This window comes from Homo sapiens, chromosome 17 (genome assembly GCF_000001405.40).
Source record: "Homo sapiens chromosome 17, GRCh38.p14 Primary Assembly".
Taxonomy (NCBI): domain Eukaryota; kingdom Metazoa; phylum Chordata; class Mammalia; order Primates; family Hominidae; genus Homo; species Homo sapiens.
The window spans coordinates 22509645-22533512 of record NC_000017.11 but is presented as its reverse complement, the minus strand read 5'-3'; the positions used below and the strand labels follow the sequence as shown (position 1 = coordinate 22533512).

Here is a 23868-nt window from a genome sequence, read left to right as displayed (position 1 = left end):
GTAACTGAACTGCCACTGGGGCCAAGCTGCCAGCGGCCCAGGATCTGGCACTTGGAAGAGTTCTCAGAAGCACCCCTGGATCAAACGAGGAGAAACAGACTTCAGCCATACATTAAATACATTCCCATTGTATTTAAAAAAGTGAATATTCTCAGGGATTTCCACATTTTTAAAAACTTCTTTTAATTGAAACATTTAAAATAAAATACCGTTGAGATAACAACCAAGTTACAGTTCTTCCAGCAGCACCCAGCCAGCGAGAGCCCTCAGATTTTAGAATTTTAGAAGAGAAGATTGTGGCCATGTCTGGAATTCAAAGAAGAACCAGTGAGAAGAGCTTGATAGAACTGATGGATGCTAAGACATCTAATATTAAAATAGAAGGGCAAACTTAAATGATAATATAAAATTATAATATTAATGGTAATTAAGGAAGCCATTAATGTTGAATTATGTATGTGTATGTTAAACATATACATAAAATATCATGAACATTATATTGTCTGTGCTGGTTTCATTAATGCTAAATTATAAAATTATTAAACTGTATGAATAACATTTAATAATATAAAATTATAAATTGCTATTGTTGAATAGAACTTTAAAGTTGAATAAAAGGAATATATTATTACTAATATGTTAGATTTGATAAAATAGGAAATTTAAACATTTTAATAAAATGCTAAGTTTCCCAGTAGTATTTGTATGAAGTTATTTGAGGTACCGTTTGTTCAGCAAAGAATGTGACCACTACCACCACCCCATCATACTCCTTCACTCATAAGACCAACCCCACTTCCATTGATAATCCCGCTAATACACTCACCAAGACTTCAATTCCTGACCCCCGTGTCTCAGGATACTCCTCAATAGCCATTGCTGTAGTATATCCAAAAACAACCATCATACTCCTAGATAAATTTAAAAAACTATTAAACCCATATAACCTCCCCCATAATTCAGAATAATAACACACCCAACTACACCACTAATAATCAATATGATTAGTTCTGTGGCCATGAATGTTATGATCAGGGAGATTTGAAGGGTGATTAGTACAGACAGGTAAAGTTTTTTTCCGTAAGGGGCACTTGTTAGATAAGTGGCATTGACTCGCTATGATCATAAGAGGTAGAAGTCAGGCTGTTAGTATTAGAAGGGGTGTCATCAGGGGGTCAGAGGAGAAAGAGAGTAGCTAAATAGATTGTCGTTGGCTTGGTTGAAAAATAACAGTGGGATAGAGCTGTTAATTAGGCTGTGAGTGGTTATGTTAATTCAAATTATATGGTTTTTAGAGAGTCATGTTGTTGGAAGTAGTATGATTGTAGGGATAATTAATTTTAACATTGGAGTAAGTTTAAGTTATGTACATAATCTAGACCGTATCTGTTAGAAATTGAGACTAGTAGGGTGAGGCCCACTGCTGCTTCACAGGCAGCAAAGACTAATATGGTGATAGGTATGATGTTAATTAAGGGAGAGTGTGTGTTTAGGGTTATGAGGGTGTTTACGATGAATGGAGATAATATTATCCCCTCTAGGCATAGTAGGGAGGACGTTAGGTGTGAGCGATAGATTAGTATTCCTAACAGTGAGGTAGTAAATGCTAATGTAATGTTTATGTAGATGAGGGGCATTTTGTAAGTATGACTATCATAATCTAACAAGTCAAAATCATTGTTTTTGTCTGTTAAACTACTTACCAATTTGACTCAGTCTAACCTTTTCTGGGATAGTTCATAAGTCAAACTTAGGATTAAGATAGTAACTAATGTGAGTGATGATACAACTGTTAGTGGTAGATTGGTTGTTTGGAGGGCTCACGGTAGGGGTAGTAATAGGGCAATTTCTAGGTCAGATAATAAAAAGGTGATAGCAATCAAGAAGAATTTTATGGAGAAGGGAATGCGAGCAGAGGATAGTGGGTCAAACCCCATTCATAAGGGTTAGACTTTCCTATGTAGATATTAAGTTGTGGTAATCAAAATGTGATGGTTATTAGTAATGGGGCCAGGAGGGTGTTGACTGTTAGGGCTAGTGCCAGGTTTATTACTCTTTTTCGAGTGTTATCGAAACTAGTTAATTGGAAGTCAGTGGTACTGTCTATACTAAAAGAGTAAGATCCTCACCAGTAGATAGAGACATATAGGAATAGTCAAACTACATCTACAAAGTGTCAGTATCAAGCAGCGGCTTCGAAGCCGAAGTGGTACTTGGATGTAAAATGATATAATAGTTGGCGGATAAGGCAAACAGTAAGGAATGTTGAACCAATGATGACGGGGAGCCCGTGGAAGCCCGTAGCTACAAAACATGTTGAACCATACATACCATCGGCGATAGTAAAGGGGGCTTCAAAGTATTCTGAAACTTGTAGGAGGGTGAAGTAGATGCCTAGTAAGATTGTGATAAGTAGTGCTTGAATTGCTTGATTACAATTGTTCTCTATTAGGCTATGGTGAGCTCAAGTAATTGAAACTCCCGATGCGAGTAGTACAGATGTGTTTAGGAGTGGGACTTCTAGGGGGTTGAGTGGAGTGATGCCTGTTGGGGGTCAGTGTCCTCCTAGTTGAGGGGTGGGGGCTAGGCTGGAGTGGTAGAATGCTCAGAAGAATCCAGCGAAGAAAAAGACTTCTGAGATGATGAATAAAATTATTCCATACCGAAGGACTTTTTGGACGGGTACTGTGTGGTGGTCTTGGTATGTACCTTCTCGTACAACATCACATCATCACTGGTATATGGTTAGTGCATTGGTCAGTAGGCCTAGTGTTAGTAGGGTGGTAGAGTAAAAGTGGAATCATATAGCTAGGCCGGATGTCATTAGGAGGGCTGAAAGGGCCCCTGTTAGAGGTCATGGGCTGGGTTTTACTATGTGATAGGCATGTGATTGGTGAGCCATTATGTATTGTCATGTAGGTAGAGGCTCACTAGGAGTGTGAAAACATAGGCTAGAATCAGGGCGACAGCGATTTCGAGAATCGTCAGTAAAATCAAAATTGTGAAGATGATTGAGGTTGTGGGGAGGTTGATAGTTGATAGCGCTAGTGTGGCACTTCTGATTAAGTGTATGAGCAGATGGCCTGCCATAATATTAGCAGTTAGGGGCATGGCTAGGGCTATTGGTTGGATAAATAGGCTGATGGTTTGGATAATAATTAGTATGGGAATGAGGGGTGAGGGTGTGCCTTGTGGCAAGAGATGGGCTAAGGTATTTTTGGTTTTAAAGCGGAAGCCTGTAATTACTGCACCTGCTCATAGGGGGATTGCCATGGCCAGGTTTATGACAGTTGGGTAGTTGGTGTGAATGAGTGGGGCAAGAGCCCGAGGAGATTGGTTGTAGCAATGAAGATAATTAGGGATATTAGCATGAGGGATCAGGTTCGTCCTTTAATGTTATTTATTGTTATTATTTGTTTTAGGGTGAGTTGAATTAGTCACTGTTGAGTGGTAATTAATCGGTTGTTGATAAGGTGTTTGGAAGCTGGAATCAGCATGGGGAGAAATAGAACGATTGGCACTGCAGCTGGAAGGCCTAGAATTGTGGGGGCAATGAATGAAGTAAACAGATTTTCGTTCATTTTGACTCTAAAGGATTATTGTGGTTTTGCATGTTAATAATTTTTAGTGAGGTAGGCAGATGGTAGTTTGTGTTTAGTACTTTTAGTTGAATGATGAGTAATAATGTGAGGAGTATTGATGCGACGATAGTGGGTCATATGGTGGTGTCTAGTTGAGGCATGTCACTGTAAAGAGATAGCGATTCTCTTAGTCTTTAACTTAAAAGGTTAATGCTGGGTCAGCTCTACAGTGAACCTTATTAAGAGAGTGGGCGGTAGCCTATAAAGTGGATACAGGTCCTATTGCAAAGATTTTTAGCGGGATTAGTTCTAGAATGATGGTTATGAAGCTATGGTCAGCTCCGCAGATTTCTGAGCATTGACCGTAGTATACTCCTGGTCGTATGGCGGTGAATGTGGTTTGGTTTAGGCGTCCGGGGATTACATCTGTTTTTAAGCCTAATGTGGGGACAGTTCATGAGTGTAGGACGTCTTGTGATGTAATTATTATATGAACAGGGGCTTCAATTGGAAGGACTACTCGATTATCAACTTTAAGAAGTCGAAGGTCACTTGGGTCTAAGAATAGTGGTGGAAGTATATAAGAGTTGAAAATTAATCCTCCATAATTGGTGTATTCATAGGTTCAGTATCATTGGTGTCCGATTGATTTAATGGTAAAAGAAGGGTCATTGATTTCATCTGTTACGTACAGGATACGTAGGGATGGAAGGGCAATTAGGACTAGGATAATGGCAGGTAGAATCATTCAAACAGTTTCTATTTCTTGGGCGTCTGTGATGTTAGTGTTAGTTTTGTTGTAATTGTTAGGAAGAGGGCGTATAAAACTAGAAAGCTGATAAGAAAGATGATTATGAGGGCGTGATCATGGAAGGCGATTAGCTCTTCTATGATAGGGGATGTGGCGTCTTGAAGACCTAGCTGGGCTGCGTGTGCCATTAAGATATACGGGGTTTAACCTGTAACTTAACTTTGACGAAGTTATGAAATAGTTTTCCTAATATCTTGTTGAAAAAGTCATAGGGGTTATGAGGCTGGCTTGAAACCAGCCTTAGGAGGTTCAATTCCTTCCTTTTTTGTCTAGGTTTTATGTAGACTGGTTCTTTAAATGTATGGTAGGGTGGAGGGCATCCCTACAGCCACTCTAGGTTAGTGGAAGGTTGCTCATTTATTAGGACTTTTCGCTTTGAAGCGAAGGTCTCTCAGGTTATGAAAATTATTAGCACTACTGCTTTTAGGGAGATGAATGAGCCTACAGATGATAAAATATTTCCTGTGGTATATGCATCGGGGTAGTCGGAATAACATCGGGACATCTCAGATAGGCCGAGAAAGTGCTGCGGGAAGAAGGTTAGATTTACGCCTACAAATATGATGGCAAAGTGAATTTTGGCATAAGCTTGGCCGAGTGTGTAGCCTGAGAATAAGGGAAATCAGTGGATGAAGCCCCCCATGATGGTGAACACAGCTCCTATTGATAGAACGTAGTGAAAGTGGGCCACAACATAATATGTATCATGTAGTACGATGTCTAATGATGAGTTTGCTAGTACAATGTCCGTTAGGCCACCCACTGTAAAAAGGAAGATGAATCCTAGGGCTCAGAGTACTGCAGTGGACCATTTGGTGTTACCCCCATGGAGCGTAGCAAGTCAGCTAAATACTTTGACGCCAGTGGGGATGGCAATAATTATAGTGACAGAGGTAAAGTAAACTCGTGTGTCTACATCTATCCCTACTGTGAATATATGATGGGCTCATACAATAAACCCTAGGAAGCCAATTGATATTATAGCCCAGACCATACCTATGTACCCGAATGGTTCTTTCTTTCCGGAATAATATGGTACGATGTGAGAAATTATTCCAAAGCCTGGTAGGATGAGAATATAGACTTCAGGGTGACCAAAGAATCAAAATAGGTGTTGTTATAGGATAGGGTCCCCTCCTCCGGCCAGGTCAAAAAGGTAATATTAAGGTTACGGTCTGTTAGCAGTATAGTAATGCCAGCGGCCAAGACTGGAAGGGAGAGGAGGAGTAGGACTGCCGTGATTAGGACAGATCAGACAAAGAGGGGCGTTTGGTATTGATATATGGCAGGGGGTTTTATGTTAATAATTGTGGTGATGAAATTAATAGCTCCTAGAATAGAGGAGACACCTGCTAGATGAAGGGAGAAAATGGTTAGGTCTACAGAGGCCTCTGGATGGGAATAGTTTCCTGCCAAAGGAGGGTAAACCGTTCAACCTGTTCCGGCACCAGCTTCTATCATAGCAGATGCCAGCAGTAGTAGAAAGGGGTGGGGAAGGAGCCAGAAGCTTATGTTATTTACGCAGGGAAATGCCATGTCAGGGGCGCCAATTATCAGGGGGACCAGTCAATTGCCAAAACCTCCAATTATGATAGACATTACTATGAAAAAGATTATGAAGAATGTGTGGGCTGTGACGATGACGTTGTAGATGTGGTCGTTACCTAGAAGGTTGCCAGGTTGACCTAGTTCAGTCTGAATAAGGAGGCTTAAGGCTGTGCCCAAGACTCCAGCTCATGCACCAAACAATAAATATAGTGTTCCGATATCTTTATGATTTGTTGAGAATAGTCAGCGGTTGGCGAACATTAGTGGGTAAGATGGCTGAGCAAAGCATTAGACTGTAAATCTAAAAACTCTCTTTTTACCAGCCCTGAGGTGCCTTTCATGTTGAATTGCAAATTCAAAGAAGCAGCTTCAATCCTGCCTGGGCTTCTCCCGCCTTTTTTCCCTTGCGGCGGGAGAAGTAGATTGAAGCCAGTTGATTAAGGTATTTAGCTGTTAACCAAATTTTTGTGGGTTTAAGTCCCATTGATCTAGCAAGGGCTTAGCTTAATTAAAGTGGCTGATTTGCGTTCAGTAGATGCAAAGTAGGGTTTTGCAGTCCTTGGGTGCTGCAGAAATTAAGTATTATTAACTTACTAAGGGCTTTGAAGGCTCTTAGTCTGCGTTTAACATAAATTTATATGAGGTGGGTAGTGTAAGTGGAGAGATTGGTAGGAGGAGGGTGGTAAGGACAGTGAGTGTGGGGAAGAGTGGTGTGGATTTTGTATTTTCAAATTGTCATTTTATTTTTACGTTGTTGGATATGGGGAATAGTGTAATTGAAGCAGAGTAGATTAAGCGTATGTAAAAATATAGGTTAAAGAGAGTAATAATGGCTATGGTAGTGGGGATAATGAGGTTGTTATTTTTTGTGAATTCTTCAATGATAAATCATTTGGGTAGAAAGCCAGTTAGTGGGGGAAGGCCTCCTAGTGATAGTAGGGTAGATGGGATTAGGGGTATTAGTCAGGTTAGTTTATTTCAAGTGCGGCACAGTAGTAGGGTTGTAGTGCTAGAGTTCAAGTTGAGTACCAGGAATGTGGTGGTTGTTAGAATGATATAGATGATTAGGTTGAAAATGGTGATACTTGGGTTGTATGCTAGTACTGCTATTATTCAGCCTATATGGGTGATTGAGGAGTATGCTAGGATTTTACATAGTTGGGTTTGGTTCAGTCCACCCCAGCTACCCACTATAATGGATAAGATTGAAAGGGTAAGGAGAATGTTTATTAATGGGGAGATTTGATATATAATTGAAATAGGGGCTAATTTTTGTCATGTGAGGGGAAGTAGGCTGGATATTAGAGGGGTTCCTTGAGTGACTTCTGGGACTCAGAAACGGAAAGGGGCTATTCCTAGTTTTATTACTAGGGCTGTTGTGATTATTAATGATGAGTATTTGTTGGTGGTGTTGGTTGTGGTTCATTGTCCGGAGAGTACATTGTTGGAGAGGATAGCTATTATGAGGATTATAGATGTGGTTGCTTATGTGAGAAAGTATTTGATAGCAGTTTCTGTAGAGCGGGGGTTTATTTTTTTAATTAAAATTGGGATAAAAGCTAGTATGTTTATTTTCAATCCTGTCCAGGTAAAAAATCAGTGCAAGCTTAATGTTGCAATGAGTGTACCTGTGAAAACGGTGGAGTAGATGACAGGTTGGGCCAGTGGATTGATTAGTACGGGAAGGATATAACCAACATTTTCTGGGTATGGGCCTGATAGCTTATTTAGCTGACCTTACTCCAGGATAGGGTGTGACACGTGGCACGGAGAATTTTGGATTCTCAGGGATAGGTTCAATTCCTATGGTCCTAGAAATAAGAGGATTCAAACCTCTATTATTTACTCTATCAAAGTCACTCTTTTGTCAGACATATTTCTTAAGTTTAGGGGGGAATGTTGGAAATTGTAGCGGATATTGAGATGTATCATATAAGTAGTGCTAGTGTAAATGGTAAGAAATTTTTTCATAAGAGATACATGAGTTGATCGTAGTGGAATCGGGGGTATGCTGTTCGGATTCATAAAAATAGAGAGGTTAGGAATAGGGTTTTAATGGTGAAGCATATTGTGTAGAGTTCTGGTAGGTGAATATTATATATTGTACCTAGGAAGATTATGGCAGTTAGGGCATTTATTTTAATGATATTTATGTATTCGGCTATAAAGAATAGGGCGAATGGGCCTGCAGCATATTCAATGTTGAAGCCTGAGACTAGTTCTGATTCTCCTTCAGTAAGGTCAAAAGCAGCTCGATTGGTTTCTGCTAGTGTGGAAATAAATCATATTATAGCTAGGGGTCATGATGTTAGGAGTAGTCAGAGGTGTTCTTGTGTTCTAATGAGGGTGCAGAGATTGAATTGGCCACTTATTAGTAGGATCGATAATAGGATGATAGCTAGGGTAACTTCGTATGAAATTGTTTGGGCAACTGCTCATAATGCGCCGATCAGGGCATAGTTTGAGTTTGATGCTCATCCTGATCATAGGATAGAGTAGACAGCTAGGCTGGATGTAGCCAGAATGAATAGAAGGCCTAAGTTAAGATTAACTAGGGGGTTAGGTATAGGGAGGGGAGTTCATAGTAGAAGGGCAATAGAGAGGGCTAAGGTTGGGGCAGTGATGTAGAGGGTAACAGTTGACGTTGAGGGTTTTAAGGATTCTTTGGTAAAGAGTTTTATGGCATCGGCAAAAGGTTGTAATAGTCCATAGGGGCCTACAATATTGGGCCCTTTGCGTAGTTGCATGTAGCCTAGGATTTTTCATTCAGTTAGCATGAAGAATGCCATGGCGATTAGGATAGGTACAATAAGAAGTAGAAGGTTAGTTATGGACATGTTGTTAAGAAGAGGGGTTGAACCTCTGGTTGTAAAGTTTTAAATTTTATGCAATTGCTGGGGTCTGCCATCTTAACAAACCCTGTTCTTGGGTGGGTGTGGGTACAGTAAAATGCTGAGATAATATCATCTATGGGGCAGGGGCACTTTATGAAGTGGGCCCCATTTCTCTTATCCTTTCGTACTGGAAGAAATGTAGAATAGATAGAAACCAACCTGGATTACTCCGGTCTGAACTCAGATCACATAGGACTCTAATCGTTGAACAAACGAACCTTTAATAGCGGCTGCACCATTGGGATGTCCTGATCCAACATCGAGGTCGTTAATGCTACTGTCGATGTGGACCCTAGAATAGGATTGTACTGTTATCACTAGGGTAACTTGTTCCGTTGGTCAAATTATTGGGTCAATTGTATGTGGATATTCGCCTTGACTGGTATAGTCTCAGCATATGTTGCTCGGAGGTTAGGTTATACTCCGAGGTCGCCCCAACCGAAATGTTTAACGCAGGTCTGGTAGTTTAGGGCCTGCGGGCCTATTTGGTCTTGTTTGCATTCATAAATTAAAGCTCCTTAGGGTCTTCTCGTCTTGTTGTATTATGTCCGCCTCTTCACGGGCAGGTCAATTTCACTGGTTGAAAGTAAGAGACAGCTGAACCCTCGTGGAGCCATTCAGACAAGTCCCTATTTAAGGAACAAGTGATTATGCTACCTTTACACGGTTAGGGTACCGCAGCCATTAAACATATGTCACTGGGCAGGTGGTGCCTCTAGTACTGGTAATGCTAGAGGTGATGTTTTTGATAAACAGGAGGGGTAAGATTCGCTGAGTTCCTTTTACTTTTTTTAACCTTTCCTTGTAAGCATGCCTGTGTTGGGTTAACAGTGTGGGTAATAATGGTTTCATTGATTATTTATAGATATTGGGCTGTTAATTGTCAGTGAAGTATTTTGGTCTGATGTAGGCTTATGCGGAGGAGAATGTTTGCATGTCACTTATACTAACATTATTTCTTCTATGAAATGATAGATTGGTCCAATGTGATGTGAGGAGTTCAGTTATGTGTTTGGAATTTTTTGGGTGGTTGGGTGTTGAGCTTGAACGCCTTCTTAATTGATCGCTTCTTCTAGGCCAACTTTGGAAGTTATATTTTTTACTCTCTCTACAAGGTTTTTTCCTAGTGTCTAAAGAGCTGTCCCTCTTTAGACTAACAGTTAAATTTACAAAGGCATTAGCTGGTTCTGTAGATAAATTTAAAGTTGAACTAAGATTCTATCTTGGACAACCAGCTATCACCAGGCTCGGTAGGCTTGTCACCTCTACCTATGAATCTTCCCACTATTTTGCTACATAGATGGGTGTGCTCTTTCAGCTGTTCTTAGGTAGCTCGTCTGGTTTCGGGGGTCTTGGCTTTGGTTCTCTTTGTAAAGTTATTTCTAGTTAATTCATTATGCAGAAGGTATAGGGGTTTGTCCTTGCTACTTTATGCTTGGTTATGTTTTTTCATCTTTCCATCGCGGTATTATGTCTATTGTGCCGAGATATCATTTCTATCGCCTATACTTTATTTGGGTAAATGTTTTAGTTGAGGTTATTTGGTAGTAGAATTAGTTGGGTTTGGGGCTAGAATTAGCTCAGGGTGGTCAAATTAAATTGAAATCTCCCAGGTGTAAGCAGGGTGCTTTATGTTAAGCTACACCTTGGTTTATCCAACTTATCTCCTCTATATAAATGCATAGGGGTTTTAGTTAGATAGTCCTTGAAATATACTTGAGGAGGGTGATGGGTGGTGTGTGCGTGCTTTATGGCCCTATTCAATTAAGCACTCTGTTCTTAATTTACTACTAAATCCTCCTTGGACCCTCAGGTTTCATAAGGGTTATTGTAGAATTTTCTGGGGTAGAAAATGTAGCCCATTTCTTGCCACCTCATAGGCTACACCTTGACCTAACATTTTTATGTAGATACTTGTGCTTACTTTGTGGCCTTTGTCAGGGTTTGCTGAAGATGGCGGTATATGGGTTGAGCAAGAGGTGGTGAGGTGAATTGGGGTTTATCGATTATAGAACAGGCTCCTCTAGAGGGATGTGAAGCACCGCCAGGTCCTTTGAGTTTTAAGCTGTTGCTCCTAGTGTTCTGGCGAGCAGTTTTGTTGATTTAACTGTTGAAGTTTAGGGCTGAGCATAGTGGGGTATCTAATCCCAGTTTGAATCTTCGCTATTGTGTATTCAGAAATATTAAAGCCACTTTCGTAGTTTGTTTTATATCAACTAGGGTTTTCTACAACTTAGGTGAAATTTAGCTTTATTGAGGGATAATGTAAAACATTCTTTACGCCAGTCTCTATTAGCTTGGGTTCATCGTATGACCGTGGTGGCTGGCATGAAATTAACCAACCCTAAAGTTAGTATAGCTCAGTTAAACTTTCGTTTATTGCTAAAGGTTTATCACTGCTGTCTCCCGTGGGGGTGTGGCTAGGCAAAGTGTTTTGAGCTGCACTAATGCGTGCTTGATACTTACTCCTTTTGATTGTAGTGATTTAGAGGGTTATTTCACCAGGGTGGCGATGCTTGCTTGTGTAATCTTACTAAGAGTTAATAGAAAGGCTAGGACCAAACCTATTTGTCTATGGGGCAGTGTAGGCCCATCTAGATATTTTCAGTGTCTTGCTTTGGGTCATTAAGCTACATAGACTGTGATTGCACAGTGTAAGCAAGGCTAGGGGATGGGCATACAAGCAATGGGTAGGGGGGAAAGCCTTGCCTTTGGGGTTGGGTTAGTTTAGGGTGTTGGTTTAGTAGTGGTCGGGCATGCGTTGAATGGGATGGCTGAAAAAGGGATAACTAAATTTGTAGAGTCTGTGAAGTGAGGCTAAGAGGGAAAAAGACGTGTTAGTTGAGGGGTGACTGTTAAAAATGCGTACAGCCTAAAGATAAAAATTTGGGCTCTGGTTGAGTTGGATTAAGGCTTTTTGTTTTTGGGGTTTGGCAAAGATGTCTTTTCCTGGGTTGGTGAGGCCAAAGATGGGGGAAGGGGATTTGCAGAATTTTATTGTAGAGTTGATGTGAAAAGCGGCCGTGGGTGTGTTTACTGATTGTTATGTCCTACAAGCATTAATTAATTAACACCTTGTGATAGGTATGCTCGCCTGGGATATTGAATGTAGGTGTGATCAATAATGGGATGGGGCAGGAATCAAAGACAGACACTGCGACATAGGGTGCTCTGGGGCCAGCGTTTCACAATGCTATCGCGTGCACACCCCCCAGATTAAAATACCAAATGCATGGAGAGCTCCCGTGACTGATTAATAGGGTAATAGACCCGTGATCCATCGTGATGTCTTATTTAAGGGGAACGTGTGGTTGGTCTTGACTTTATGGCTGTGAGGTAAGAACAAGATGCCGGATACAGTTCATTATAGCTACCCCCAAGTATTATGGACCTGGATCAAGAAGAGTAGCACTCTTCTGCAGGATATTGATTTCACAGAGGATGGTGAACAACGGACCACTATCTGAGGGGGATATCCGTATTGACGAGGACTTGTTTAACTGGAATGTGCTATCTACCATGAGCGATTAGATGTACTATGTACTCAAGGATATATAGTGTTTTTTGGTACGCTTGTGGTTGAGAAGTTTCTTTTGGAGGGTGGGTTTAATGTGTTACCGTTAGTTAAGGTATTCTAGTCCTTGCTTGTAAGCGTCGTGGGGAGGAGTTGTTGTTGAGTTTCGTTTGATATGTACTATGTACAGTTAAGCAATTATAGTACTATATAATATTCATGGTGGCTAGCAGAAATTCACGATATATATAAAATTATGGTGGGGTGGGTCGATACTTGGGTTGTACCCAAAATGGCTCCCTCATGAGAATACAGAGAGTAGTTTAAATTAGAATCTTAGCTTTGGGTGCTGATGGTGAAGTCAAGTACTTTTTCTCTGAGTTGTCCTTGGGAGAGAGTCTCCATTTCTGGTTTACAAGACCAATATATTGGTTTATACTACAAGGGCAGGTCCATTTGAGTATTTTGTTTTCGAGTAGGGAGGCAAGCGGTATCAGGGCTAGAATTGTAGCAAAGTAAACTACGAATGCTGTTTGTCCGAAGGTGATGAAGGGGTAGCTTGCTGGTTGTCCTCCAACCCATGTGAGGATAAGGAGATCTGTAATTAGGAGTCAATATAGGAATTGGTTTAGTGGACAGAATATTATGCTTTGTTGTTTGGACATGTGAAGTGTGGGAATTGCTGCTAGGATGAGGATTGATAGTAGGAGGGCCAGTACGCCTCCTAGTTTGTTGGGGATGGATCATAAGATTGCGTAGGCAGATAGAAAATACCATTCGGGTTTAATATGGGGTGGAGTATTCAGGCGGTTGGCTAGGGTGTAGTTATCTGGATCAGTTAGGAGGTCGGGTGAAAACAGTACTAGTGTTATTAGGGTGAGAAGGAGGAGAAATAGGCCTAGGATATCTTTGGTCATGTAGTAGGGGTGGAAGGTAATTTTGTTGGAGTGGGAGGAGATTCCTGAGGGGTTATTTGATGCTGTCTCATGGAGAAATAGTAGGTGTAAGACTACTAGGGCTGTAATAATGAAAGGTAGGATAAAGTGGAAGGTGAAGAATCGTGTGAGAGTGGGTGTGTCTACTGAATAACCACCTCAAACCCACTGCACCAGGTCTGTTCCGACATAAGGAATGGCGGACAGTAGATTTGTGATTACCGTGGCCCCTCAAGGATATCTGGCCTCATGGGAGTACCTAGCCTATGAAGGCTGTTGCTATGGTTGTGAGTAGGAGAATGATGCCAATGTTTCAGGTTTCTAGGTAGAGAAATAAGCCATAGTACAGGCCTCGGCCAATATGTAGGAAGAGGCAGATGAAAAATATTGAGGCGCCATTGGCATGGAGGTAGCGGATGATTCAGCCATAGTTTACATCTCGAGTGATGTGGACGACTGAGGAGAAGGCGGTTGAGGCGTCTGGTGAGTAGCGTATAGCTAGGAATAGTCCTGTAATAATTTGAAGGGTTAAGCAGGCACCAAGAAGCAAGCTGAAGTTCCATCATATGGAGATGTTGGATGGGGCGGGGAGATCGATAAGTGAGTGGTTGATTATTTTTACTAGTGGATTAGTTTTACGTGTTGGGGTCATTGGTGTTCTTATAGTCGAAATAAAATGATGGTTTCTCATATCATTGGTCGTGGTTGTAATCCATGTGGGATTAATCACATATGCTTTATTATCATTAAGTGTGGCTTTAGTAATAGGGTTTGTAGGGTTTTCTTCTAAACCTTCTCCTATTTATGGGGGTATAGTATTGATTATTAGTGGTGTAGTTGGGTGTGTTATTATTCTGAATTATGGGGGAGGTTATATGGGTTTAATGGTTTTTTTTAATTTATCTAGGGGGTACGATGGTTGTTTTTGGATATACTATGGCAATGGCTATTGAGGAGTATCCTGAGACATGGGGGTCAGGAATTGAAGTCTTGGTGAGTGTATTAGTGGGATTAGCAATGGAAGTGGGGTTGGTGTCTAGTGTTGGCACTATTTGATTAACTGGTGGAAAAATAAATACTTGCGAGAAATGGGTTATTTCAAGTTATATTTTAATGTCCTTTTATTTCCACATAATAAAATCTTTATGCTGGGCATGGTGACTCATGCCTGTCATCCCAGCATTTTGGGTGGCTGAAGTGAGAGGCTTGCTTGAGCCCAGAAGTTCAAGACTAGCTTGGGAAACATAATAAGACTCTGTCTCTACCAAAAAATAAAAAATTACCTGGGCCTGGTGGTGTGCATCTGTGGTCCCAGTTACACAGGAGGCTGAAGTAGGAGGACTGCTTTAGCCCAGAAGGCAGAGGCTGTAGTGAGTCACGATCCTGCTGCTGTACTCCAGCCTGGGCAGCAGAACAAGATCTTATGTCAAAAACAAAATGAAACAAAAAAGTGAAATCATTATTATTCACTTGATATTCCTGAAGAAATTGTCAATATTGATTAATATCCTCATCTGAATTTTAAGTGATTCATATAATGGCAGACTGTAAATATATTATTTAGAGATAAAGAGGACTTTATTTAAATATTCAAGTTATTGTCAACTAGACTATTTTAATGTAAATCTTGTGGCTCATGTCATATGTTGTTAATATTAACTTTAATTTTCATAATAATTGTGGGCGTTTCAATGTATGCATTTCATTTTAGGTAATTTTGCAATTTTTTCTTTTTCTTTTTTTTTTTTTTAGAGATGATGGCTCACTATATTGCCCAGGCTGGTCTTGAATTCCCGGGCTCAAGCGATACTCCCACCTCGGCCTCCCAAAGTGCTGCTGGGAATACAGGCGTGAGCCACCGCGCCCGGCTCCGATTTTGCAATTTTAATTGTTCTGCAAAAGTTTCCACTGAATACTCATCATTCTGTAGTGTGTAAATGAGCACAGCCTGAAATGTTGAGAGACTTGAGATAGAGTTTAAAATATGGTGATTTTATTCCTCTTGTGTCTTCCAGGTGAGAATCCACACGTTATCACATGAACCAGTGATGTGTGTCATAAAGAAATTAAGAAACAAACCTATACTATTTTTGCTACCCTTGTTTTCTGGAAAATGAACTGTAATAGATTTCTAGAATTAATTTTGATACTAAAAATATTATTCCAATTCAATAGTGAGAACAGCGCCGCGTTCTGTGCTACACTAGGGGGAGCACCTACTTTGGTAATGAACATCATTCCCTGTTAGTCTTTAGTGAATTAAGGGCCGGATGAGGAAGTGGGAAATTAGAGGAAGCTGTGCCTCCCCGGAGGAGCACGTGCCCTCAAAGCCGTAGGGCAGGAGCAGAGGCTGCCTGAGTTTGCAGCGCGAGCCCAGGGGGCTTCCCTGGGACTCAGCGACCTCCCTGTGCGCTGGGACGCGCAGGCAAATCCCCGCTGGGCTGCGCCTGGTGTGCACGGAGCCCTCCTACTTGAGTCCTACGCCGCTTATCCGTTTATCTGCATCGTAAAAGCCAGCGTTACTTTGTTTGAACTACTTTTCCAGTGCCACGGGATTTCATGCAAAGTGCCTTAGACGGTAGAAATGCCTACTCCTCTCGTTTCCTTATTCCTGGAATGTGCTCACATGCCGTTCGGCCACGCAGGGACCCGGGACGCTCAGCCCTTTCTGCGCCCTTGCCCTCTCCAGGGCGGCATCTGGCAAGGAGGGCGGCCCAACACTGCAAGCCTGATCCCGGGGACTGAACTCTGGACGGTCTCAGGGACTGACTAGGGATGCGGCCGCGGGAGGGGGCAGCCCAGCAGGGAGAGGACTGGGGGAGGGGCGCGGGCTGTGCCCTTGGGGCAGGGCGGGACAAGGGTGGCCTCCGGAGGGCTGGGAGGGGGTGACCCTAAGAGAGCGGCTGGGCTCCCTGGCTGCCTGAACACTGGTGCTTTTTTCTTTGCTAACGCCCTGGATGCCACCAGCCCAGTTTGCTCATCTCGCCTGCAGCCCCATTGTGATTCCGTTATTTTCTGAAAGATTTTCCCTTCCCTTCTCTTTTTGCCCTAGACCACAACTGCCAGCAGACACCCCTAGCACCCCGGAAGATGGGCAGTGGTTCTCCGGCAACCTCCTGCCCGTTTCTCATTAAAGCTTGAGAAGGAGGAGGGTGGCTGTGTCCCAGGAGCTGGGCTGGCACCCTCAGTGAGGTTGTGGGGCTCTCCTGGAGAACACAAACTGTCCCTCAGGACACCAGCAGCAGGCAAGACCCCAGATGGTCTGATCAAGACAAAGACAAGCCACTCCAGAATCCTGTCTGAATACAGACAGATGGGAGCATCTCTCAGGCCAGGAGTGCCAGCCGTGTCCTCTCCCAGCCCACATGATGACTGCCGCTTTGGCCTTGGTGATAGCCTGTCCTGCCCGTGTCAGGCCTCCCCGGGGATGAGGTTTATGAAGATTCCAGTGTATACCTACCTCCTCCTGCTTCCTAACAGTGCTCAACTCAGAGCCAGCCCCTCTCCAGTTAGTCCACCCATGGCCAGCTGGCACACACACACAGCCTGTGGCAAGGCTCTTCCAAGCCTCTCACTGCACCCTCCACAGCACCATGGCGTATTTTTGCAGAATGGAACAGTAAATCCAGTTGTAGTTTAACAACAGGTGTGTCTCTGGTAGGCACACTAGGCAGCAGCTCATTGGCCTGTATTTAAAATACGAACATGTGCATGACTGCAAACGCCTAGATCCTCACTTTTTTTCTACAAACCAGAATTGCTGTTCTCAAAGTTTAAACCACATTTGCAATACATGAGATCCACAGCCTGAGTGAAAGGAGTCACATGCTGGGGATGAGCTGGGCCTGGGGGCCAGGCCACCCTTGGGCAGAGAATGTGGGTGCATGGAGAGGGTGTGTGGGGCAGGAAGGATCCCTGAGTGTTTTGAGCAAAGAGGAGTGTGTGATCCTGCCTGCCTTTGGTGCCGTCTACTGGGGCTGGTCAGCGAGGTGGGGACACATGGCAAAACTAGAAGCCCTGGGGGAGCTGGGTGAAGGGAGCAGGCACCCATTATGCTGCTATTGCAGTTTTCTATAAGTTCTATAATTATTTCAAAATAAAATATTTTAAAATGACCATGTCCCTAAAGGAGGGATAATAGTAAGCTGCACGATAGAGATTAGTCTGTACTCAGACCCACTTCAGCTACAGCTGTGAAGCTTCTGCTCTCCGATTCCAGAGCCTGATGGTGTTAAGGAGGCCCCTGTGGATGTTACAGCGATGTGGATGTTATGCTACAGACATCACAGTAATGACCCTTTGGAGCCTTGGGTGATTCCCCTGTGCTGTGCAGGTGGCAGGATTTTTGATTTCCCTTTTCCCACACGAGCCTTTCCCCTACTGGGCATCTCGAGACTGACCACCCTTTGCCCCAGGCTGGAAGCCACAGAGAAGGCCATCTACTTGTGTTTCTCCCTCCCATGGAGCCTCCCTGCCTCTGGTCATCCCCTGGGTCCCTCTCAAAGACCACAGAGGCTGCTCTCAGGTCTAATTTTCCGTCTTGATTGTGCTGCCAACAGTGAGTTTCACACATGTATGTTTCAGGCAGATAGACGCTTGCACAGAGTGTGGGGATACCCTTGGTGGCTCTTCACTCTCTGGAATTCTTCTTCTTCCTTCTTCCTTCTTTCTCCTCTTCTTCCTCCCCTCCTCTCCTTCTCTCTCTCCCTCCCCTGCCCTCCCCTTCCCTCCTCTCCTTCTCTCTCTCCCTCCCCTCCTCTCCCCTCCTCTCCCTCCCTCCCCTCACTCCTCCCTCCCTTCCCCTCTCCCTCTCCTCCCCTTCTGTCACTCAGGCTGGAGTGCAGTAGCAAAATGACTACTCACTGCAGCCTCGAACTCCTGGCCTCAAGTGATCCACCCGCCTCAGCCTCCCGAATAGCTGGGACTACAGGTGTGTGCCACCACTCCTGGCTATGTTTTTATTTTTTGTAGAGATGGAACCTTGCTATGTTGCCTAGGGTGGCCTCAATCCCTGTGGGATTCTACTGGGGAGTTACAGTGTCTCTGGGGCACAAGGGATTGACTTGATCATGACTGCCATTTCCCAGATGGTGACCCAGGTGCTTGAGAAGCTCACGCCTTTCCGGGCCCATCTCAGAGGCAGTGGGGATGATCATCAAGGGTCTTCCTTGTTACTGATGGGGAGCAGCCATTCAGGGGCCCTGGTGGGGGCCCTACTAGGGCACAGCCTGCCACACCATTCCAAAGGTTGAGACTGTGACCTGTGCACTGCAGGTGTCCCTTGTCCATCCCTACAGGGAAGAGCATGGCCATCTCCGTCAGGCAGTGCCTTGGGTGTCCAGATGGCTTCTGGGAGTGACACCACAGGTCTGAGAGAACTTGGATTGGAGAAAGGAACTGGAGGGATGGAGCAAGATTGGGCTCACAGGCTCAGCATCCCCAGTGAGCCAGGGTGACATGAGCCCAAGTGGGAATAGGTGTCTCTGCCTCTGTGGGGGTCCCAAGTTGGTGCCTGGGGAGGGCAGGGCTGAGGGGTTGCTGGGAGGTGAGTGTTGAGAGGCCTAGGAGGCCACGTCCATGAATGGGTCTGGAGACCTGGGGGGCTGGGTCTGAGGGGACGGGAGCAGGTATAACTGAGGGAGTTGGTGGGAGGACTCCAGCCCAGCTGCTCAGGGGAGCCCTGAGTCACTTCGGGAGTGTGAGGAGAGTGGAGGAAGTGGATGGCCCTGGTGCCCCAGGTGAGGGGGTGGGCTGCAGGGGGCCAGCCTTGTGAAGGGCAGACACAACTTAGAGGTGAGCTCGGGAGCATGCAGGTGAGGACCCAAGAGACCAGGGGGGTCCTTCGGCAGGTGGGGCAGAGAGACCGAAGACTGTGGCCCAGCAGGACCTGGGGGAGAGAAGAGAAGGTATAGGGAGGAAAAAGGGGGCAGCTTCACCAACTCATCAACTAAGGGATGGTTGGGGCGGGCCAGGAGCTAAGCAGGGGGTGGGGTGATAGGGGAGATGGAGCCCTCACCGGGCAGTGGGGCCCTGGGCACTGGTTTATGTATGAACAGGTGGGCAAGTCCTCTAGAGTCGTGGAAAGTAAACATGAAACCCACAACTGCACACACGTCATCCCTTGTTTTTGTCATGGCGTTAATCTCCAAGTGGCTTTGGTTCTTCCCCAGGCACAGAATGAAGCGACCCAGGTCATCGCTGTCCTAGAGCTGCCCCCGCTGACTTTGTCTTTTCTTCTTGGCTGGTATCTACACCTGACACACACCGGTTAATTTATGTGTAGGTCTGTATGTTTATTGCAGCACTATTCACAATAGAAAAGACTTGGAACCAACCCAAATGTCCATCAATGATAGACTGGATTAAGAAAATGTGGCACATATACTCCATGGAATACTATGCAGCCATAAAAAAGGATGAATTCATGTCCTTTGCAGGGACATGGATGAAGCTGGAAACTATCACAAGGACAGAAAACCAAACACTGCATGTTCTCACTCATAAGTGGGAATTGAACAATGAGAACACTTGGACACAGGGTAGGGAACATCACACACCAGGGCCTGTCAGGGAGATGGGGGGCTGGGGGAGGGATAGCATTAGGAGAAATACCTAATGTAAATAACGGGTTGATGGGTGCAACAAGCCAACATGGCACATGTATACCTATGTAACAAACCTGCGCGTTGTGCACATGTACCCTAGAACTTAAAGTATAAAAAAAAAAAATACGTGTACGTGAAGCCAGGGGTGTGAACTCTGTCCTGGTCCTGCACCGAGCTACTCCTAGATCTTGGGCAGGTTCCACTCCTGCAGGCGCCTGGCCCCGCGCCTCCCCGCAGGCTCCTGGCCCTGCCCCGGCCCCGTCCTGCCCACATCACAAGGCTCAAGGCAGGCGGCGGGCGATTCCCAGGTTAGTCAACAGGGGGCGCACGGGGCAGTCTGGCCCGGAGGCCCTCGCTGAAATCAGCACAGCAGGAAGGAGGGTGACACTGCCCTCCTATGCAGGTCAAACTACTAACAAATGATGTGGCTGGAGAATACTTGACAGCACGATGACAAAACACGTCAGTATAAAATAAGATCATGAAGCATGCTGTGCCCAGCTCTGCGATTAGTTCACAGTATTTTACAGGGCGTTGTTTCCAAATGCTCAGGAAACACCAGCTACCTGTAATAAAGCGTGACATGCACCTTTGTCAACACTCAGCACAGCTTTGCAATAATGGCCCAGCCTGATCTTCACGTTGGAGGTGAGGACATAGGCCCTGGAGGGTTCAAGTGGCAAGGTCACAGAAGTGGTCACAGGGGACCACAGCCCCCGCTGCCTGGACTGCCCCAAGCTCTGGATCTGTAACTCCTGGCTTGCTCCCCACTTGCCTGCCTGACCACAGCTTCGAGGCCTCTGAAAAGCCTGGCAAGGTGGGCAAAAGGTCCCTGTGGTGTTGCCCCCAGGGGAGGGATGGGCCATGGAGCTTAGCTTGGAGGGAGGATCTGGGACCTGCTGGAGGAAGCAGAGCCCTGGAGAGGGTGCATCTCGGCCCTCACCCCGGTGATGTGGAGAGCCTTGACTGCGGGGGCTGGGGAAAGTGGGCAGGCCCAGGGCAGTCGGGGAGCCACTTGCTCAGCAGGAGGGCCAGAGGGAGAAGTGAGCTGTGTGCAGGGAGGGTGGGCAGCAGGCAGGGGCAGGCACAGGAAGTAGGGCGCTGAGCTGAGGTGGTCCAACTCAGGAGCTGGGGAGGGAAACTGAGAAAGGGAGCATGGAGGGGAGATGGGGGAAACTGGGCAGGTGCAGAGAGGGAGGGCGGGGAACTGAGGAGAAGATAGAGCAGGGGAAGTCAGGGAAGGGGAAGAAAGCACACAAGCAGAGGGAGACTGGAAAGGAAACCCAGATGGCTCTTGGGACAGGGAAGAGGGAGGGAAGGGGAGCTGAGGGACATGGAGCCAAACGAGGTGAGGTGAGGAGGGCGGGGATGGCTGGGAGGGATGTCCTTGGCAGGAGAGTGCAGGGGACTGTGGGAGGGTGGAGAGGTCAACAGAGGCTGAAGGAAAGGGGGAGGGGAGCATGTTGGAGGAGATGGAACTGGAGAGAGAAGAAAGGAAGGGCATGAATGAAGGGGAGGGAGGCAGGAGAGGTCAGGTGCATCCAAGGAAGGTGAGGAGAGGGGAAGGGAGGTAAACTGAGGCAGGGACATGGACAGAAGGGATGGGAAGTGAGTTCACCGGTGGAGTCAGAGTGAGGAGAGGAAGGGAAGGACTGGAATGGAGGGTGAAGATGGAGTGTGAGTGGAGGTGAAGTGGGGGGAAGGGGGGAACCAGTAGGGGCTTTGCATGGGAGGGGAGGTGAGTGAGGGAGAGGAGGAAGGTACAAAGAACTGGAGAGAGGGAGTAAGATAGAGGCCACAGGGGCTCAGGAGTAAGGGGAGGTACTAGAATGGAGGGAAGCATCTTGGAAGAGCTGCAGTGGATCAATTGTGGGTGGGGTGGGGCAGGAGGGAGCATGTGCCTGAGACTGTGCTGCTTTTTGAAGAAGTGACAGAGACAACACCCTTAACAGAGCATTTCTCCTCCCCATCAGCCCTGTCACCTGGTCACCCTATGACCCCACACCCCGCAGCTGCACTGAGCTTCACTGCCCTTGGGTGGGGATGCCTCCTGAGGGCTCTTTCTGTTGTTCTTGCATCTCTCCAGCCACATATTAAAGTGACTCAGACCACTTTGATGACCCTCTGTTCCATGTTGTAGGTGACACTGGTTATCCATGTCCAAATCACTTCTTCCCAGCCCTTTGGTGTTTGGTGGATTAGAACACTCCATGTCTGAAACCCTAGTCAGGGAGTTCACTACTTTGGACATCACAGAAAAATGTTGCCAAAGATTGAAAAAAAAACACACCCTGTTGCTGGATCTCTCTTGCCTCATCCCTTTACCTAATAAGCAGGAGTTGGTTACATCCTTAGTTCATAACCAAAGACACTTAGAAAGAAACACCAACTGTATTTGCACAAACTTTGAGAATCGATCCATAGAAAAACGCAGAGATCAAGATTTCTAACTCGTAGGGAAAAAACTTTTATTTTTCTAGCAATGATAAGACATTTAAGTTTTAAATTTTCTCCTTCTGTGTCCATATAATTAAAATTAATGTCGTGCAGAAAGCACACAGCACCGAATTTCTGGGACCACTAAATCATATTTGGTGCCACTTGCCTTATATTTTCATGACAACATACATAGACACCTCCATTATCTGTAAACCCAAGCGTCCACACATCTGGACAGGGAAGAAGCCTCCTTTACCCTTAGAAGCTCGCCCCTAGCTCTCCGTGCCTGGATGACAGATACTCGTGGGGCTGTTGTGTTTGGCTTTGAGGTCCATGGACACCAAGGACGTTACAGATTTTTAGTCTCTGGTCTCCACATTGGTTATGCCATGAGATTTTACTACGGACCCAGTGGACTGCTTCTCTAGGGGCACGCTCCTCGGTGCTTTTGGAATCGCCCATGTCCCTAGAGAATCCATGTCTTGGGTATTTCCTATCCATGGTCCAGTCCTCCTGGAAGACTGCAGAGCCTCCTCACTATGGCCCCATGCAGGGATGCCAGGAGAGGGCACTTGCCTCCGTGCTCCAAATCCTGAAATCTACTTTTGCACTGATGCTTTTTCCCTTTCCAGCACTGTATCCTGTGTCTTTGACATCCCTATGGCAGCTGGGTGAGATGTGTTGTCAGTCACAGGTGCACTGGGGATGACGCTGACTTGCCAGCTCTAGAGGGTCGTCCAAGGTGGATTCTGGGTCAACACCCTTTTCAGGTAGAAGGAATTGTTCTTCACTTTTCAAGTCTTATTCAGGTAAATCAGGATCTTTTTATTGTGAACTTTAACTTTTTCTTATTTTGAGTGGCTTAAAATATTACTATTTTAAAGAAACTATGGATAATTTTCACTTTCTTGCCCAAGATAAAGATAATTCTATGAAGCAATGAAAGGTCCAACAGTCTTAATAATGGATACCAATAACAGTTACGATACTGTGCTGTTCACTAAAAAAGATGGGCATGGAGGTCAAAGGAAATAGCATTTATTTGAGAAACAAAGAATTGCAACTCAGGTACAGTGAGTCAGGGCGGCCCTGAAGAGTGTCTTGTAAGGCAAGTGCAGGAAACATTTTTGAATCAAGGATTTCCACAAAAGTTATTTTTAAAGGCAGTTGATTTGTTGGGCAGAAATCCGAAGTTGTAAACTCGTTTTGATTGGTCAGTTAACGAGGCCACTCCCAGCTGAAAGATGCTGAAGGCTGGTGGACATTGGCTTCAGTTGTTTATCCAAGTCTACTGGAACATTCTGTGGCTTGACCTTTAGCAGATTTGAGTGCTTCTCCTGCTTCCATTTTAGAAAGCCGGAGGCTTAGTTAATTCATTTTTTTTCACAGTATAAATATGCAAAGTTTAAAGATTTGATGGAGTCATATATGAAAGACATTTATTATTAAGCATGAAATTTATAATATTTTAATCATTAAATTGTATATGTTCACATAATCAGAAGTAAAATATCTAACAATTAAAATTCTCAACAGATTAA

General features: G+C 44.8%; 12 pseudogenes, besides 1 other annotated feature; 2 read left to right on the top strand and 10 right to left on the bottom strand.

The window, feature by feature from the left end:
• MTND6P34 (MT-ND6 pseudogene 34) lies at window positions 740-1005 on the bottom strand (annotated as a pseudogene).
• On the bottom strand, window positions 1341-1637 carry MTND4LP8 (MT-ND4L pseudogene 8; annotated as a pseudogene).
• MTCO3P13 (MT-CO3 pseudogene 13) lies at window positions 2121-2901 on the bottom strand (annotated as a pseudogene).
• On the bottom strand, window positions 2904-3579 carry MTATP6P3 (MT-ATP6 pseudogene 3; annotated as a pseudogene).
• Window positions 3841-4520, bottom strand: MTCO2P13 (MT-CO2 pseudogene 13; annotated as a pseudogene).
• NMTRS-TGA3-1 (nuclear-encoded mitochondrial tRNA-Ser (TGA) 3-1) lies at window positions 4592-4660 on the top strand (annotated as a pseudogene).
• MTCO1P13 (MT-CO1 pseudogene 13) lies at window positions 4661-6201 on the bottom strand (annotated as a pseudogene).
• Window positions 6236-6530: a silencer, noted in NCBI's record as "tiled region #3895; HepG2 Repressive DNase matched - State 24:Quies". NCBI's record gives its function as "represses a minimal TATA promoter and a strong SV40 promoter by Sharpr-MPRA in HepG2 cells {active_cell/tissue: HepG2}" and the evidence as "EXISTENCE:reporter gene assay evidence [ECO:0000049][PMID:27701403]".
• MTND2P13 (MT-ND2 pseudogene 13) lies at window positions 6589-7614 on the bottom strand (annotated as a pseudogene).
• Window positions 7817-8777, bottom strand: MTND1P15 (MT-ND1 pseudogene 15; annotated as a pseudogene).
• MTRNR2L1 (MT-RNR2 like 1 (pseudogene)) lies at window positions 8850-10098 on the bottom strand (annotated as a pseudogene).
• On the bottom strand, window positions 12804-13896 carry MTCYBP13 (MT-CYB pseudogene 13; annotated as a pseudogene).
• Window positions 14009-14318, top strand: MTND6P35 (MT-ND6 pseudogene 35; annotated as a pseudogene).